Raw genomic sequence first — 16463 nt, forward strand, 5'->3', positions numbered from 1 at the left:
GCAGGTTTTCAAAGGGAATGCTTCCAGCTTTTCCCCAATCAGTATGATATTGGCTATGGGTTTGTCATAAATAGCCCTTATTATTTTGAGATACATTCCATCGGTACCTAGTGTATTGAGTGTTTTTAGCATGAAAGGGTGTTGAATTTTATCGAAGGCCTTTTCTGCATCTATTGAGGTAATCGTGGTTTTTGTCATTGTTTCTGTTTGTGTGATGGATTACATTTATTGATTTGTGTATGTTGAACCAGCCTTGCATCCCAGGGATGAAGCTGACTTGATCTTGGTGGATAAGCTTTTTAATGTGCTAGTGGATTCAGTTTGCCAGTATTTTACTGAGGATTTTCCCATCGATGTTCATCAGGGATATTGGCGTGAAATTTTCTTTTTTTGTTGCGTCTCTGCCAGGTTTTGGTATCAGGATGATGCTGGCCTCATAAAACGAGTTAGGCAGGAGTCCCTCTTTTTCTATTGTTTGGAATAGTTTCCAAAGGAATGGTACCAGCTCCTCTTTGTACCTCTGATAGAATTTGGCTGTCAATCAGTCTGGTCCTGGGACCAGACTATTTTTTTGGTTGGTAGGCTATTAATTACTGCCTCAATTTCAGGACTTGCTATTGGTCTGTTCAGGGATTCGACTTCTTTCTAATTTAGTCTTGGGAAGGTGTATGTGTCTAGGAATTTATCCATTTCTTCTAGATTTTCTAGTGTATTTGTGTAGAGGTGTTTATAGTATTCTCTGATGGTAATTTGTATTTCTATGGGATCAGTGGTGATATCCCCTTTATCATATTTTACTGTGTATATTTCATTCTTCTCTCTTTTCTTCTTTATTAGTCTGGCTAGCAGTCTATCTATTTTGTTAATCTTTTCAAAAAACCAGCTCCTGGATTCATTGATTTTTTGGAAGGGTTTTTCATGTCTCTTATCTCCTTCGTTCTGCTCTGATCTTAGTTATTTCTTGTCTTCAGCTAGCTTTTGAATTTGTTTGCTCTTGCTTCTCTAGTTCTTTTAATTGTGATGTTAAGATGTCAATTTTAGATCTTTCCCACTTTCTCATGTAGGCATTTTGTTCTATAAATTTCCTTCTAAGCACCGCTTTAGCTGTGTCTCAGAGATTCTGGTACGTTGTGTCATTATTCTCGTTGGTTTCAAATAACTTATTTATTTCTGCCTTCATTTTGTTATTTACCCAGTAGTCATTCAGAAGCAGGTTGTTTAGTTTCCAAGTAGGTGTGCGGTTTTGAGTGAGTTTCTTAATCCTGAGTTCTAATTTGATTGCACTGTGGTCTGTGAGACTGTTTATTATGATTTCCAATCTTTTGCATTTGCTGGGGAGTGTTTTACTTCCAATTATGTGGTCAATTTTAGAATAAATGCTATGTGGTGCTGAGAAGAATGTATATTCTGTTGATTTGGGGTGGAGAGTTCTGTAGATGTCTATTAGGTCTGCTTGGTCCAGAGCTGAGTTCAAGTCCTGAATATCCTTGTTAGTTTTCTCTCTCGTTGATCTGATTTTGACAGTGGGGTGTTAAAGTCTCCTATTATTATTGTGTGGGAGTCTAAGTCTCTTTGAAGGTCTCTAAGAACTTGCTTTATGAATGTAGGTGCTCCTGTATTGGGTGCATATATATTTAGGATAGTCAGCTCTTGTTGCATTGATCCCTTTACCATTATGTAATGCCGTTCTTCGTCTTTTTTGATCTTTGTTGGTTTAAACTCTGTTTTATCAGAGAATAGGATTGCAACCCCTGGTGGGTTTTTTTTGTTGGTTTTTTTTTTTTTTTTGCTTTCCACTTGCTTGGTAAATATTCCTTCATCCCTTTATTTTGAGCCTATGTGTCTTTGCACATGAGATGGGTGTCCTGAATACAGCACACCGATGGGTCTTGACTCTTTATCCAATTTGCCAGTCTGTGTCTTTTTTTTTTTTTTTTTTTTTGAGATGGAGTCTTGCTCTGTCGCCCAGGCTGGAGTGCAGTGGCGCGATCTCGACTCACTGCAAGCTGTGCCTCCCAGGTTCAGGCCATTCTCCTGCCTCAGCCTCCCGAGTAGCTGGGACTACAGGCGCCCGCCACAATGGCTGGCTAATTTTTTTGTATTTTTATTAGAGACGGGGTTTCACCATGTTAGCCAGGATGGTCTCGATCTCCTGACCTTGCGATCCACCCACCTCGGCCTCCCAAAGTGCTGGGATTACGGGCCTGAGCCACTGCACCCGGCCCAGTCTGTGTCTTTTAATTGGGGCATTTAGCCCACTTACCTTTAAGGTTAACATTGTTATGTGTGAATTTGTTCCTATCATTATGATGTTAGATGGTTATTTTGCCTATTCGTTGATGCAGTTTCTTCATAGTGTTGATGGTCTTCACATTTTGGTATGTTTTTGCATACCAAAGAGTTTTGCAGTGGCTGATACTGGTTTTTCCTTTCCATATTTAGTGCTTCCTTCAGGGGCTCTTGTAAGGCAGGCCTGGTGGTGACAAAATCTCTCAGGGTTTGCTTGTCTGTAAAGGATTTTATTTCTCCTTTGCGTATGAAGCTTAGTTTGGCTGGATATGAAATTCTGGGTTGAAAATTCTTTTAAGAGTGTTGAATATTGGCCTCCTCTGGCTTGTAGGGTTTCTGCAGAAAGATCCGTTGTTAGTCTGATGGGCTTCTCTTTGTGGGTAACCCGACCTTTCTCTCTGGCTGCCCTTAACATTTTTTCCTTCATTTCAACCTTGATGAATCTGGTGATTATGTGTCTTGGGGTTACTCTTCTCGAGGAATATCTTTGTGGTGTTCTGTGTTTTTCCTGAATTTGAATGTTGGCCTGTCTTGCTAGGTTGGGGAAGTTCTCCTGGATAATATCCTAAAGTATGTTTTCCAACTTGGTTCCATTCCCCCCATCACTTTCAGGTACACCAATCAAATGTAGGTTTGGTTTTTTCACATAGTCCCATATTTCTTGGAGGCTTTGTTCGTTTCTTTTCATTCTTTTTTTCTCTAATCTTGTCTTCATGCTTTATTTCATTAAGTTGATCTTCAATTTCTGATAGCCTTTCTTTTGGTTGATCAACTCGGCTATTGATACTTGTGTATGCTTCACGAAGTTCTCATGCTGTGTTTTTCAGCTCCATCAGGTCATTTATGTTCTTCTCTGAGCTGGTTATTCTAGTTAGCAGTTCCTGTAACCTTTTATCAAGGTTCTTAGCTTCCTTGCATTGGGTTAGAACATGCTCCTTTAGCTCAGAGGAGTTTGTTATTACCCACCTTCTGAAGCCTACTTCTGTCAATTCGTCAAACTCATTCTTTGTCCGGTTTTGTTGCCTTGCTGGTGAGGAGTTGTGATCCTTTGGAGGAGAAGAGGCATTCTGGTTTTTGGAATTTTCAGCCTTTTTGTGCTGGTTTTTCCTCATCTTCATGGATTTATCTACCTTTGGTCTTTGATGTTAGTAACCTTTGGATGGGTTTTTTTTTTCATGGGTGTCCTTTTTGTTGATGTTGATGTTATTGCTTTCTGTTTGTTAGTTTTCCTTCTAATAGTCAGTCCCCTCTTCTGCAGGTCTGCTGGAGTTTGCTTGAGGTCCACTCTAGACCCTATTTGTCTGGGTATCACCAGCAGGGGCTGCAGAACAGCAAAGATTGCTACCTGCTCCTTCCTCTGAAAGCTTCCTCACAGAGGGGCACCTGCCAGATGCCAGTCGGAGCTCTCCTATATGAGGTGTCTGTCAACCTCTGCTGGGAGGTGTCTCTCAGTCAGGAGGCATGGGGGTCAGAGACTCACTTGAAGAGGCAGTCTGTGTCTGTCGCTTAGCAGAGCTTGAGCACTATGCTGGGAGATCTGCTCCTCTCTTCAGAGCCAGCAGGCAGGAATCTTTAAGTCTGCTGAAGTTGCGCCCACAGCCACCCCTTCCCCCAGGTGTTCTGACCCAGGGAGATGGGAGTTTTATCTATAAGTCCCTGACGGGCTGCTGCCTTTCTTTCAGAGATGCCCTGCCCAGAGAGGAAGAATCTAGAGAGGCAGTCTGGCTACAGTGGCTTTGCTGCGTTGTGGTGGGTTCCACACCCAGTTCAAACTTCCCACTGGCTTTGTTTACACTCTGAGGAGAAAATTGCCTACTCAAGCCTCAGTAATGGTGGATGCCCCTTCCCTCACCAAGCTGGAGAGTCCCAGGTTGACTTCAGAGTGCTGTGCTGGCAGCGAGAATTTCAAGCCGGTGGATCTTAGCTTGTTGGGCTCTGTATGTGTGGGATCTGCTGAGCAAGGTGACTCAGCTCCCAGGCTTCAGCTCCCTTTCCAGGGGAGTGAATGGTTCTGTCTTGCTGGTGTTCCAGGCACCACTGGGGTATGAAAAAACTCCTGTAGCTAGCTTGGTGTCTGCTCAGATGGCCACCCAGTTTTGTGCTTTATACCCAGGGCCCTGGTGGTGTAGGCACCCGAGGGAATCTCCTGATCTGTGGGTTGTGAAGACCGTTGGATAAGCATAGTACCTGGGTCAGACAGCACCATCCCTCATGGCACAGTCCCTCAGGGCTTCCCTTTGCTAGTGGAGGGAGTTCCCCAATGCCTTGCGCTTCCGGGGTAAGGTAATGCACCATCCTTACCTTCCGTGGGCTGTACCCACTCTCTAACCAGTCCCAGTGAGATGAATCAGGTACCTCAGTTGGAAATGCAGAAATCCCCCACCTTCTGCGTTGGTCTCACTGGAGCTGCAGACCAGAGCTGTTTCTATTTGGCCATCTTGCCTGGAGATTTCTTAATATTTTCTGTATACAATCATGTCACCAGCACATAAAAATTTTACTTTTTCTTGGTCTGTAGGCATTTTATTTTCTTGTGTTATTGCACTGGCTATGACGTCCAGTCAATAATGAACAGAGGGGATATAGTAATAGCTGACATTTTTGCCTTATTCCTGAAGTGCAAAGGTAGGGAGGGACAAATTTTTTTTTTTACCCTCAGACATATGTTAACTGTAGGATTTTTTTTAAAAAAAGATTCTTTTTATTAGATTGAGGTAGTTTCTCCTGTTCCTAGGTTGTTGAGTTTTTATTGTAAATAGATTGAATTTTGACAAATGCCTTTTCTGCTATTATAGATGAGCATATGAGATTTGTCCTTTATTCTGTTAACATAGTGAAATACATAAGTTAATTTTCAACTGTTAATCAAATCTTGCCTTCCTGGAGTAAACCCACGTTAGACATATTATCTTTTTATATATCTGGATTCATCTTGTGAATTGTTTTTTAGAATTTTTTTCAGCTATACTTATCAGATAGATTGGATTATAGTTTTTGTTTTTCATAATACCCTTGTCAAATTTTGGTATCAAGGTATGGCTGCATTATAAAATGAGTATCTATGAACTAAAAGTGATAACCAGTAAGTATTAGAAAGTTAACTTGTTTTTTTTTTTTTTGGTTGCCAGTTTAAGCATGTAAATAATCAAATATCTGATCAGCTTTAAGTACTGTGTATCATACTATCTCTTATCCTTTGTTTCTTGAAAAATGGGTTTTATTCTTCGAGTTTTTAAAACAGTGTGTACTTTTATAAGTTTTCTTTATATCTAATCTTTTTTCTGCATTTACATTCATTTTTGTTATTTCCATTTTTAATATCGAATCTACCCTATTCATTGTATAGAAATTTATGCATTTCACTTTTCATCTAAAAATTCTTATTTCACTTGGAGTTTTTAACTACTTAAACTTTACTTAAAAAGAAAGAAGAAGGTCATTCCTTAGTAGGAATAAAATATATAATTCCATTTTTTAAACAGCGTATTCACAGTTGTGTACCCATCACCCCAATCAGTTTTAGTATGTTTTCATCACACCAAAATGAAGCCCTATATGCATTAGCACTCACTGCCCACTTCCCACCAATCCTTCCTAGCCCCAGACAACCACTGCTCTAATTTCTTTCTCAATGGATTTGCCCATTCTAGATATCTCATAAAAATGGAATCATATATGTGATCTTTTGAAACCAGTTTTTAAAACTCAGCATAGTGATTTCAAGGTTTATTCATATGGTAGGTATCATGTATTACTACCTAATTTCTCTTTATTGCTGAATAACTTTCCATTGTATAGACACATTTTGGTTATCTATTCATCCATTGATAGATGTCAGGTTGTTGTACTTTTATTGTGGATAATACTGCTGTGAACCTACATGTACAAGTTTTTATGTGGACATATGTTTTCATTTCTCTTGAGTATCTATGAGTAGAATTGCTGGGTTGTATGGTAACTCTGTGTTTAACTTTTTGAAGAACTGCCAGACTTGAAGTGATTGTGCCATTTTACATTCCTACTAAGCACTGTACAAGGGTTTTCGTTTTTCTGCAGCTTTGTCAACATTTGTTATTATCTGTCTTTTTTATTAACAGTTTAAAACTTAAGAATTATTTATTTCTGCTACTTGCCATTTAATGTTTTTGGACCACTGTTGACATCAGGTAACAGAAACCATAGAAAGTGAAACTATGGAGAAGTGAGGACTAACTATTGTGCTTTAAAATGAGATACAGAATTAGGTCTTTTTATTTTACTTTGTGGTCTGAGAATACTTAGATGAAAAATATAGACCATGATACCCAATATTTTCTTGTTACATATACTTCATTGGAAATACTGTTGAACGTAAGAAGACAGATTTCATAATGAATATCAAATCTTGAGGTTGCTTTATTGGCAGGTCTTCTGCATTTAAAATCTATATTAATATACTTGCTCATATTAAGTATGCTAATGGACCACAAAGAAGCCATGCATATCTTTAGATAGGCCTATCGAAAAAATGTTGCTCTTTGTTCTTAATACAGTTTGTTAATTTTGTAGCCTTCCAGGGCTTAATAATTGCTAAAGGATAGTCAAATCATAGCAGCATAACAGAAAAGATTAAAAAGAAAAAGCCCTGCTTAATAATGTAGCAACAAATATTTCAAACATACCCCAGAAACTAAATTTAGAAAAGAATCATTTTATCTGGATAGAATACATTTTGGGAAAAGCTCATCACAGACTCTGACATTATGGAATATCTGACCTGGTTGGGCTCTAGAGATAATCTGTGCATTTACATTAATGTTAAGGTAAACCTGTGATCTGCTTTTCTGTTACTGTTTTCTATGACCATGGAGCATTGTTTGTTGAAGAAAAAAATCTTTGGGACATTCTTCATATCTACATATGGCTTTTATGAATGGGATTGAAACTACAGAAAGCCATTTTTTAGATCCCTTTTGGAAACTCTATACTGAATAAAATTATTGTGATTACTTTTTCCTTTAGTAGGTATTCACTAAATACCTTTTAATAAATAAATGAAAATAAATGTTTCCATATCTACTTATAGATTTTCTTCTTTCGTCGTGTCTTCAAGATTTTACCATTCTAAACTGGGAGGGATTTTGTTACATATTTTCTTACCTTGACAGTGTTTATTCTTTCCTCACAATATGGACTGGGTATCCCTAATACAAACATTCGAAATCTGAAATGCTTCAAAATTTAAAATGTTTTGAGCACTGGCGTGATGCTAAAAGTGGAAAATTTCACACCACACCATATGTGACAGGTCACAGTCAGTCAAAACACAGGCATACAGCACACAGTTTATTTAGTGTACCTCCACAAGGGAAAAAAGACCCTCCCAAAACACCTGTAGCTGTGATAGAGCATTTTTGAGCATGCCCAAATTCTCCTATGCCAGCAATCCTACAAAGGCATCTGAGCAGGCTGGGCATGCCAACAGCAGGTCCCTCACAGTGTCCCACATGGGAACAAGACCTCCTTGCATTACTCACTGTTTGCTTATTCCATGCTCTGTAAAGATACTGTTTAAAATGTAAAGAAAAGTCCTGCATCATACCCATAGGGTAATGTCGATATTCCCAAATTGGAAACTGTTTGAAATCTGAAACACTTTTGGTCCCAAGCAGTTTAGATAAGGGCTACTCAACCTATATACAACATCACTCATTTCTTTGTTTTATGCATCATCCTACAGATTCATCACTTTGTTTTGCATTTCTGTAGTCTCATGCCAAATTTCAGGTCTTTATACTTTTTAATATTTCTGTAATCTACTTATTACTCTGTCATCCTATTGGTATGGCTTTTGCCTAAATCATAGTATGGTATGTCTTGTTCCGTGACCAAATGTTTGGTAACTTTCTTCTTCTTTACAAATGCTTTCCATATTTATAAAGTATATATATATATATATACACACACAGTGTCAAATATTTATGATATAGTGAAAGAAATTCTGGAACTTCAGTGGGAAATAATTTTTAAAATTGTCTAGTCTAGCCTTTTTTCTTTCTTAGTAAGATTAATAATGCCCAGAGAGATAAGCAGAGTTTGTCAAAGTTACTTTGAAAGATGTTATTGCAAGTGGGCTTGAGAGTAATAACAGGAAAAGGGAAGGCATTGTAAAGAGATAGGAACAAAGGAAGCAGGATAACCTGATAACAGAGTATAAATTCTCTTCATGTGTATGTATTTGTTTAGTTGTCTGAATTCTCTGTAAATATATCAGTCTTTGAGATTACCCTCTTTGAAAGAAGGGCCTGGGTCCCATTCATGGGCCTAGTGGTATGCTAAACATAAATAATATATAGGCCAGGGAAAATGACTTGAATGCTATGATAAGCGAGAAGAAATCACCCTATTTATTGAGCACTACTATGTGCTATATGCTTTGACACAAATTATTTCAAAGATAAGATACAATCAACTCTTGAACATTCATGATTCTAATTTTCAGTTATCCTGTTGATTTCAATATCTCTAACAGAGGGCAGGCAAGAGGAAAACCTATGGGATTCATGTTACGCAGAAATTGCTCTAGTAGAGTAGCGTTCTGAGCAGAAGTAAATTTAGTAGCTCAAAGAAAAGGTTTAGATTCCCTGTGGGTTTCACTTACACCTATTCCTGTTATCTTATAGGATAAGTGCATTCTATGAGCTTTGGAGAAATAAGTACCAGTAACAGAGAAATTTGGGGTTAATGTCTCTGCACACAGAGTAGAATGAAAATAGGATTGTCCCAATATATACTTCAGTGAATTGTAAATAAAGTGTTGGTGTTGTTCATGTTTGTTTGTTTTTAAATTTTTGTTTTTTCTCTCTGTGCTCTTGTCAGAAGTCATCCCTTTTTGGTATGATTAAGTTGGAATCCTTTTCAGAGTTAAACATTTTCTTGGTCCATGTTTTTAACTTTATAATTTTTTTTTTGGACTAAGAATACATGTACTGCAAACCTTCCTTTATGTTACTGTCATCTTTTTATTTAATCATACTATTTATATGCTACTAAAGAATGCTGGGTATTGGTACCAGGAAAAAGTAAAATTGCCTATGTATATTTAGTAAAATATTTAAAGTACATATTTTGTTTATTTTATTAATAGGATTTAAATAAACTTATACAAAATGTAAATCAAAATCAATTGATTGTACCTGTTTTGGTAACAAAAAAATGAAACCCATGTTTTAAAAATCGGAATATATTTCTGTCCTGGATTATAATTTGGCACCTGCATCCTTTGTAGGACTTTGCATATTTAAGATATCTCTGATGATTGAAAACATTTTTAATGTAAAAATTGCATGGATCTTTTATTACAGAGGTGAAAAAGATTGCCTTATGAGAGATTAAGTTTTTTAAAAAGCAACAACAAAACAGAACAGAGTGTTCCTGAAGAATTCGGCATACCTTTGGAAGAAGTCTGGTTTTGTAAACTGCAGCTGTAGGCACATATTTAATTTTATTCTGATAGATGTTAAAGGTTTTTTTTTTTTTATTTCAGAGTAAGTGAGGAAAAGGAAGTGACAGAGGAAAGACTGAAAGCTGAGCAGGAGTCATTTGAGAAGAAGATCAGGCAGTTGGAAGAACAGAATGAACTGATCATCAAAGAAAGGGAAGATATCCTTTTGAAAGTTCTCTTTTTTAACGTTCAAGAAGTTTGACTATTTCTTTTTTTTTTTGAGACGAAATCTCGCTCTTGTCGCCTAGGCTGCAGTGCAATGGTGCGATTTCAGTTCACCGCAACCTCCACCTCCCGGTTCAAGCGATTCTCCTACCTCAGCCTCCCGAGTAGCTGGGATTACAGGCACCCACCACCAGGCCCAGCTAATTTTCGTATTTTTAGTAGAGACGGGGTTTCACCTTGTTGGCCAGGCTGGTCTTGAACTCCTGACCTCAGGTGATCTGCCTGCCTTGGCCTCCCAAAGTGCTAGGATTACAGGTGTGAGCCACCGTGCCTGGCCAGAAGTTTGACTATTTCATGAAGACAATGTAAACTCCAGAGAAATAATTGTTCTAATTTGTAACAGGGAGTAAATCTGCATGTGCTGCCATTTCTAGGCAATCAGAACGTCACTTAACAATATGTGCTATAGCTTCCTTTGTGCCTGATAAGGCCATCCAGCTGTTCTGCTGCTGCTGTTAGGCTGCTAAGCACATACTTGTCAACTAAAAAGGACAAGAAGAAATTTGGGCATTGAAGTGTAGTGTTGGAACTTTATTAAATTCTGTTGCACTGCTGTAATTGAGCTGGAACCTCCTTGTATTTGGTATTCTTTCTAGTTAAAGCTTTGACAGTCCTAGGAATTCTGCTCTGAAATCATAAAAATTAAAAAAAAATTGTTTTTACTGTATAGATGTTGTAATTGGTAAGTGTTTACACGGCAGCATAATGCTGCCAAATCCTTCTTATGGAGCAGAAAACTATTGGGTTTAGACCTAGAGGGGTGTGTGTGTGTGTGTGTGTTTGTGTGTGTGTGTCTATAGCATTATTTGTAAGAAGATAAAGTAAAAACATATTTTAGGGGTGTGTTAAAATAAGCTATTTCTGAATTTTCTTTTGAATAGGTAGAATTACTTATCTTTGGGTATTGTATGCAGCAATATGGATGTAGAAGAGAAGTCCCTAAAGTTAGAGTGATGGATCTGCCAGCTAAACTAGTGTGTGAATGCGTGAAACCACCATTGTTTTTATTGGCGGTATCATCATTAACTTGATTGTTAATAATTGTTTCAAAGATTCTGCAAATGTCGAAAATGGTCTTGTATTGACAGTAACTATGCCTTTGTGAATACCAGAGAAATGGAAGCATAAAGATAAATTACAATAATTAGCTTGAAAAATACAAGACTGTAGCTATAAAAACAGAGTCCTGAACTTTTATTTTCCAAGCAGTGGGAGTTCATGATAGGAAATTAATACAATCAGAATTCTCAGAATTGATTTGCTGAGTATAACATGAATAAGGCTTGTTGGCCTCACAAGTCTAGATGAGTGCTTTTTCAATTATTAATTTTTTCTACATCTCTAGCATTTGGATAATCATCTCCAACTTTCTCTTTTTTTTTTTTTTTTGGCCCACTTTGACTTCATTGCCCTTGGTTGTTGACCCTCAAGATAGTCTTCTGTGTTTTTCTTCCTGCTACTTTTTTCTCTAGATTTAAAGGAATGCTGTTTAGTCAGAATTCATAACAAAGTGCTCAGCCAGTTTTATTTACTCTTCTACTTGAGGAGTAGTACTCCAGGTCCTAGCATTTTTTAGAAATGGTAGGTTAGGAATGCTTTCATTTGCAACAAAAATTCAATTTACAGGCTCCTTTATTTCTCACATAACAAGTACTCTGGAGATTATGGAGATTCAGTGGTTTAACATTTTCAGTGCTGGCAGCTTTACAATTCTCTCAGGTTTTTTTAATGGTTGCTCCAATTCTAGGCATTACATTTCCATTAAGGCAGGCAGAAAAGGGGAAGAGGTCCTGGTAATTATGACTCCCTCTCCCTCTTTTTAAAAACATAAAAACTTTATGAGAGCACTCCCTACTCCCCACCCAGTGGTCTTTTATATGATATTTATAAAAGTCCTGAATTTTATGATGTGGCCATGGTAGGCTGCAAAGGAGGCTAAGAAAGTGAGCATTTAGCTTGTCCAAGTTATGTAGTAGAAGGCAGCACTGGAGAAGAAGACTGGAAATGAATTCAGCCCCCAACTCTGGTAGCAGAGGTAAGGGAAATACAATTCACTCTTTGTATGGAGAGGAGGTGGTGATGCTTTAACCTTCCTGGGACAAAAAAATCTATAGCATACAGTGGAATTGGGATGAGTTGGGGAAAGGTGAGAGAGATTGGTAGTAGACAGTTTAGAAAACCTGGGCACAATTAGAGTGGGCCCTTGTTTGGTAAAATACTTAAGAAAATTTTGTGGTTATCTGGAAAAGTAGAATCTAACTCAAGTAGACTGTTATATTTAGCACTCTCTGGGTCAAGATTAATTCTATTCAGTGCTAAACCAGTCTATACTTAGCATGGCTGTGAATGGTTTCTTTTGTCAGGCTAAATATTATGATACCTAGGTGATTGCAGTGACACTATTTTTCATGTTTTCCTCATGATTTAACTCGGGGGGAGAACACTACTACTGTGGGCCACATCCAGTAGTGTGCCAGCTAATTCCAGCCATACTCATTCCTTTATGTATTGTCCATGGCTGCTTTTGTGCACCAACTGCAGAGTAATTGCAGCAAATACCCTATGCCTTTCCTAACCTAAAATATTTATTATTTGACTCTTCAGTAAAGGTTTGCTGGTTCATGATTTATCTTATAAGCTAAGAAAGGAAAGGAAAAGATATGTGAGTAAAGTCAAAGACTTTTAGTCATGTGGCATAGTCAGACTTATATTACATATAGTAAAAAGGAATTTGGCCTAAGCATTTCTTTATTATTGTGAATAAGGATTGGAGCAAATGGTATATCATTGTCAAAAATTAAAATATTTTGGTTGGTAAAACTGGTTTAAGTTTTTTTTAATCACCAAAATATAGGTAGTATTTATAAAACTTTATTATCATGGAAGAAAGGACATGATTTTTTTAAATGACATTTATGGTTTTTATTCCAAGTAGATTGCTCAGGTGCAAATCTCCTTTACCAGAATAAACCTGTCAAAGGTTAATATAGATGATTTTACAGTACATAAAGCTCTATAAAACTTAGAAACATAAAACAAGGTTATAATTTAAAATAATATAATTTTAACTACAGATACATTTACCTATCATACATGAATGATTCAGACTCTTACATATACATGAAATCAGATAATTTCAGATCATTTTAAAATCTGTTTCTGTGTGAGAAACTATATCCATTAATTCTGATTTTTGGCATTTTAAAGATGTATTATACCAACATTTATGGGGTTTTTGTTTTAAAAGTTTGAGTAACTTGATTTATTGATCAGCTGTACAAACACAGACTAGTGCCTTAGTAAAAAGGAAAAGATATTTTATGTGTTTGCATCAGGATCAGCCTGTTGAAGGGTTTCTTCTTGTAGAAAATTGTGAATTTATTATTAAAACATAAAAAGTCTTAGTAACATTCAGTCTTTAAGCAAAGAAAGTTTATTTCTGGAGAACTTAACCATGTAAATGAATGTGCCATTTACAAAGCCAAGCAGTCTGATGAACTTAGTAGGTTTTTGCTTGGCTGGATGAGTATGAAAAGAAAGATAAATCTGAAACTTAAAGAGAAATATGTACAATAACAATAATTCTGAAACATGTTGGCATGTAATAGTGTAAGACACAGAGGATGTAGCCATTATAAAATTTGATTAATATTTAAGCTAATTGTATTTCTAGAACATATGACTCAGATCAATGGTGAGCGGTGGTAAAAAGCTTATATTAGAAAAGTACTAAAGTCTAATGTTTGCTGACTTCACTGTTTTGACTGGCATAGCAAAGGGAAGTGACAGCAAAGCACAGTGGGATTTAGAGTCATAATCCCATTTTAGCACTGAGTAGCTATCTGATCCCTTGGGAAAGTTACTGAACTTCTCTGAGTCTTTTGTTTATAATATGTAGATAACTAAAATGCCTTCTTTGCAGGCCTATTGGAATTTGATAGATTCTTTACATTATATGTGTAAAGGACCTAGTCTAAGTAGCCACTGAATAAAAAATTGCAATTCTCATTTTTACTATTATTAATATGGATGAGGGATGAGATGACTAACCCAGGTTTCTCATTTCTGTGCCTTTCTTCACTGGGATTTTGTTGATTTTCATTAGATTATGCAAGGGTTAGGCTGCTTAGTAGCCCAGTAGAAGAATGAAATTGGTCTTTCCTCTGCTTTATCTTCTGATCTCTCTGGAAGGAAAAACCTCTCTGTACCACTTGCACCTGTTGAGTGCTCATTGGGAGGAAACCAAGTTTTAGTTTCCTCTCCCAGAAATCAAACTGACAGAGTTGTGGTTTTTTTGTTTGTTTGTTTGTTTTCCACATTCTGGTCTGTTTCTATTATCTCTCTGACTAGGGCTTAGTAAATTGAAGGGGTTTAGAAAGGTGCTTGTAGCTCACATCCTTGAGCCCATTACATGGGTGGTCATTTTAGAAACTTTGCTCTTCAAAGAAAGAATTTTAAAGGAACTAGCTTTTTTTTCTTTCTTCTTCTTTTTTTTTTTTTAAAAAAAAAGCAAAATCACCTTTATTTGCATGTGGTATGAAACTTAACTTGGCATATCCAAATCAATGATATTATCTATGTAAAAGTAATAACCAGTCAGAAGATAAAATGGCAGAAAAAGAAGTTTAAAATGTCAACAAAAAAAATATGTCTGCGCGTCATGGCTCACGCTTATAATCCCAGCACTTTGGGAGGCCAAGGCAGGCGGATCACCTGAGGTTAGGAGTTCGAGACCAGCCTGGCCAACATGGTGAAACCCCGTCTCTACTAAAAATACAAAAATTAGCCGGGCAAGGTGGTGTGTGCCTGTGGTCCCAACTACTCGGGAGGCTGAGGCATGAGAATCGCTTGAACCTGGGAGGCAGAGGTTGCAGAGAGCCGAGATTGTGCCACTGCATTCCAGCATAGGTGACAAAGTGAGGCTCCATCTCAAAAATAAAGTAAACCTAACAGTAATGTACAAAACCTTTATGAGGAACATTTCAAAGACTCCTGAGAGACAAAAGCAGAGTTGAACGAATGGAAAGACAGCCCTTGTTCATGTGGATGACTCAACAAAAAATGATATCAGATATTCTCCTAGTTCATATATGTGTAATGTAATTCTCCAAAAAGATATATATGAATGAGATTTTTTCTGGAGCTAGACAAGTTGGCTATGAAATTCATGTAGAGAAATATGCAAAATTAACTAATCAGCCTCATAAAGAAGAGCCGAGAAGGAAGTGATTAGGTCTCTATCAAAACATGGTAGATGAATAAACAACCAGCCTACTAAAGCAGAATAGAAAGTTTAAAGGTAAATCCAATTACATTCGAAAATTAAGAATATAATTGAGATAGCATTTCACAACTGTGACAACAGGATGGACTTTGTAATAAATAGTATTGTGACAATTGGAGAGTCATTTGGAAAGAGATACAATTGGAGCCCACGCCTCATACCACACACCAGAATAAACCCTAAGTTAATCAGAAGTCCAAAAAGTGAAAATATGAATTATGTACATATATTTAAATACCACTCTATATTCAAGAAATACATATAATTTTAAAAATTGTTTTAATTATTTTATTTCACTAGTTTTTGAGGTACAAGTGGCTTTTGGTTACATGGACAAGTTATTTTAATAACTGATTTCTGAGATTTTGGTACACCTGTCACTGGAGCAGTGTACATTGTACCCAGTATGTAGTCTTTTATCCCTCACCCACTTTCACTCTTCCCCCCTCTGCTGAGTCCCCAAAGTCCGTTATATCATTCTTATGCCTTTGCAGCCTCATAACTTAGCTCTCACTTATGAATGAGAACATAACGATGTTTGGTTTTCCATTCCAGAGTTACTTCATTAAGAATAATGGCCTCCAGCTCCATCCAAGTGGCAGCAAAGGTCATTATTCCATTCTGTTTTCTGGCTTAGTAGTATTCCATTGTGTGTATACCATATTTTCTTTATCCACTCATTGGTTGGTGGCCACTTAGCTTGGGCCCATATTTTTGCTATTGCGAACTGTGCTGCTATAAACATCCATGTGCATGTGTCCTTTTCATATAATGGCTTGTTTTCCTTTGGGTGGATACCCAGTAGTGGGATTGCTGGATCAAATATTCATTTACATTAGTAATATTACATTAGTAAATATTAGTTTACATTAAAGGAACTAGCCTTAATCTTTCTGAGGACTGTATTAAGAATGAGCCAAAGATCCCATAATGTCTGTGCTGAAAATAGGTAAGAGAAAATTCACAAGATTTTTATATGATTATGTGAAAGAAATCATTCGTTGCAAATAACAGTAATACGCTGGAGCTATCCAAAGCTTTGTATTTAACTATATATCTCATCCCTGCATAGGAGCCAGACTACCATGATTTGTCACCATCATCTGTTAGACTTTTAACAAGGATAGGAACCATACTGCAGGAAGCTGTATCATAGATCTCGGTGGAGTGGTATGTCAGGAG

The 16463-nt window shown here is 37.0% G+C and overlaps 1 protein-coding gene across 19 annotated transcripts in view; it reads left to right on the forward strand.

Annotated features, from left to right (window-relative positions):
* KIAA1328 overlaps positions 1–16463 on the forward strand; it is a 403046-nt gene that overhangs the window by 46616 nt on the left and 339967 nt on the right. For 18 of the 19 annotated variants that reach the window (NR_136303.3, NR_136304.2, NR_136305.2 and 15 more), the window contains one exon: positions 9815–9930. Coding sequence is in view for 14 of the 19 variants with exons in the window: in XM_047437678.1 (XP_047293634.1) it covers positions 9815–9930 (116 nt within the window). In the remaining 5 variants the exon portion in view is untranslated. Of the gene's footprint in view, positions 1–9814; positions 10665–16463 lie in introns of those variants that run through there. The other variant, NR_148565.2, reaches the window with a different exon arrangement.

Source organism: Homo sapiens, chromosome 18 (assembly GCF_000001405.40).
Source record: "Homo sapiens chromosome 18, GRCh38.p14 Primary Assembly".
In the NCBI taxonomy this organism is placed as follows: domain Eukaryota; kingdom Metazoa; phylum Chordata; class Mammalia; order Primates; family Hominidae; genus Homo; species Homo sapiens.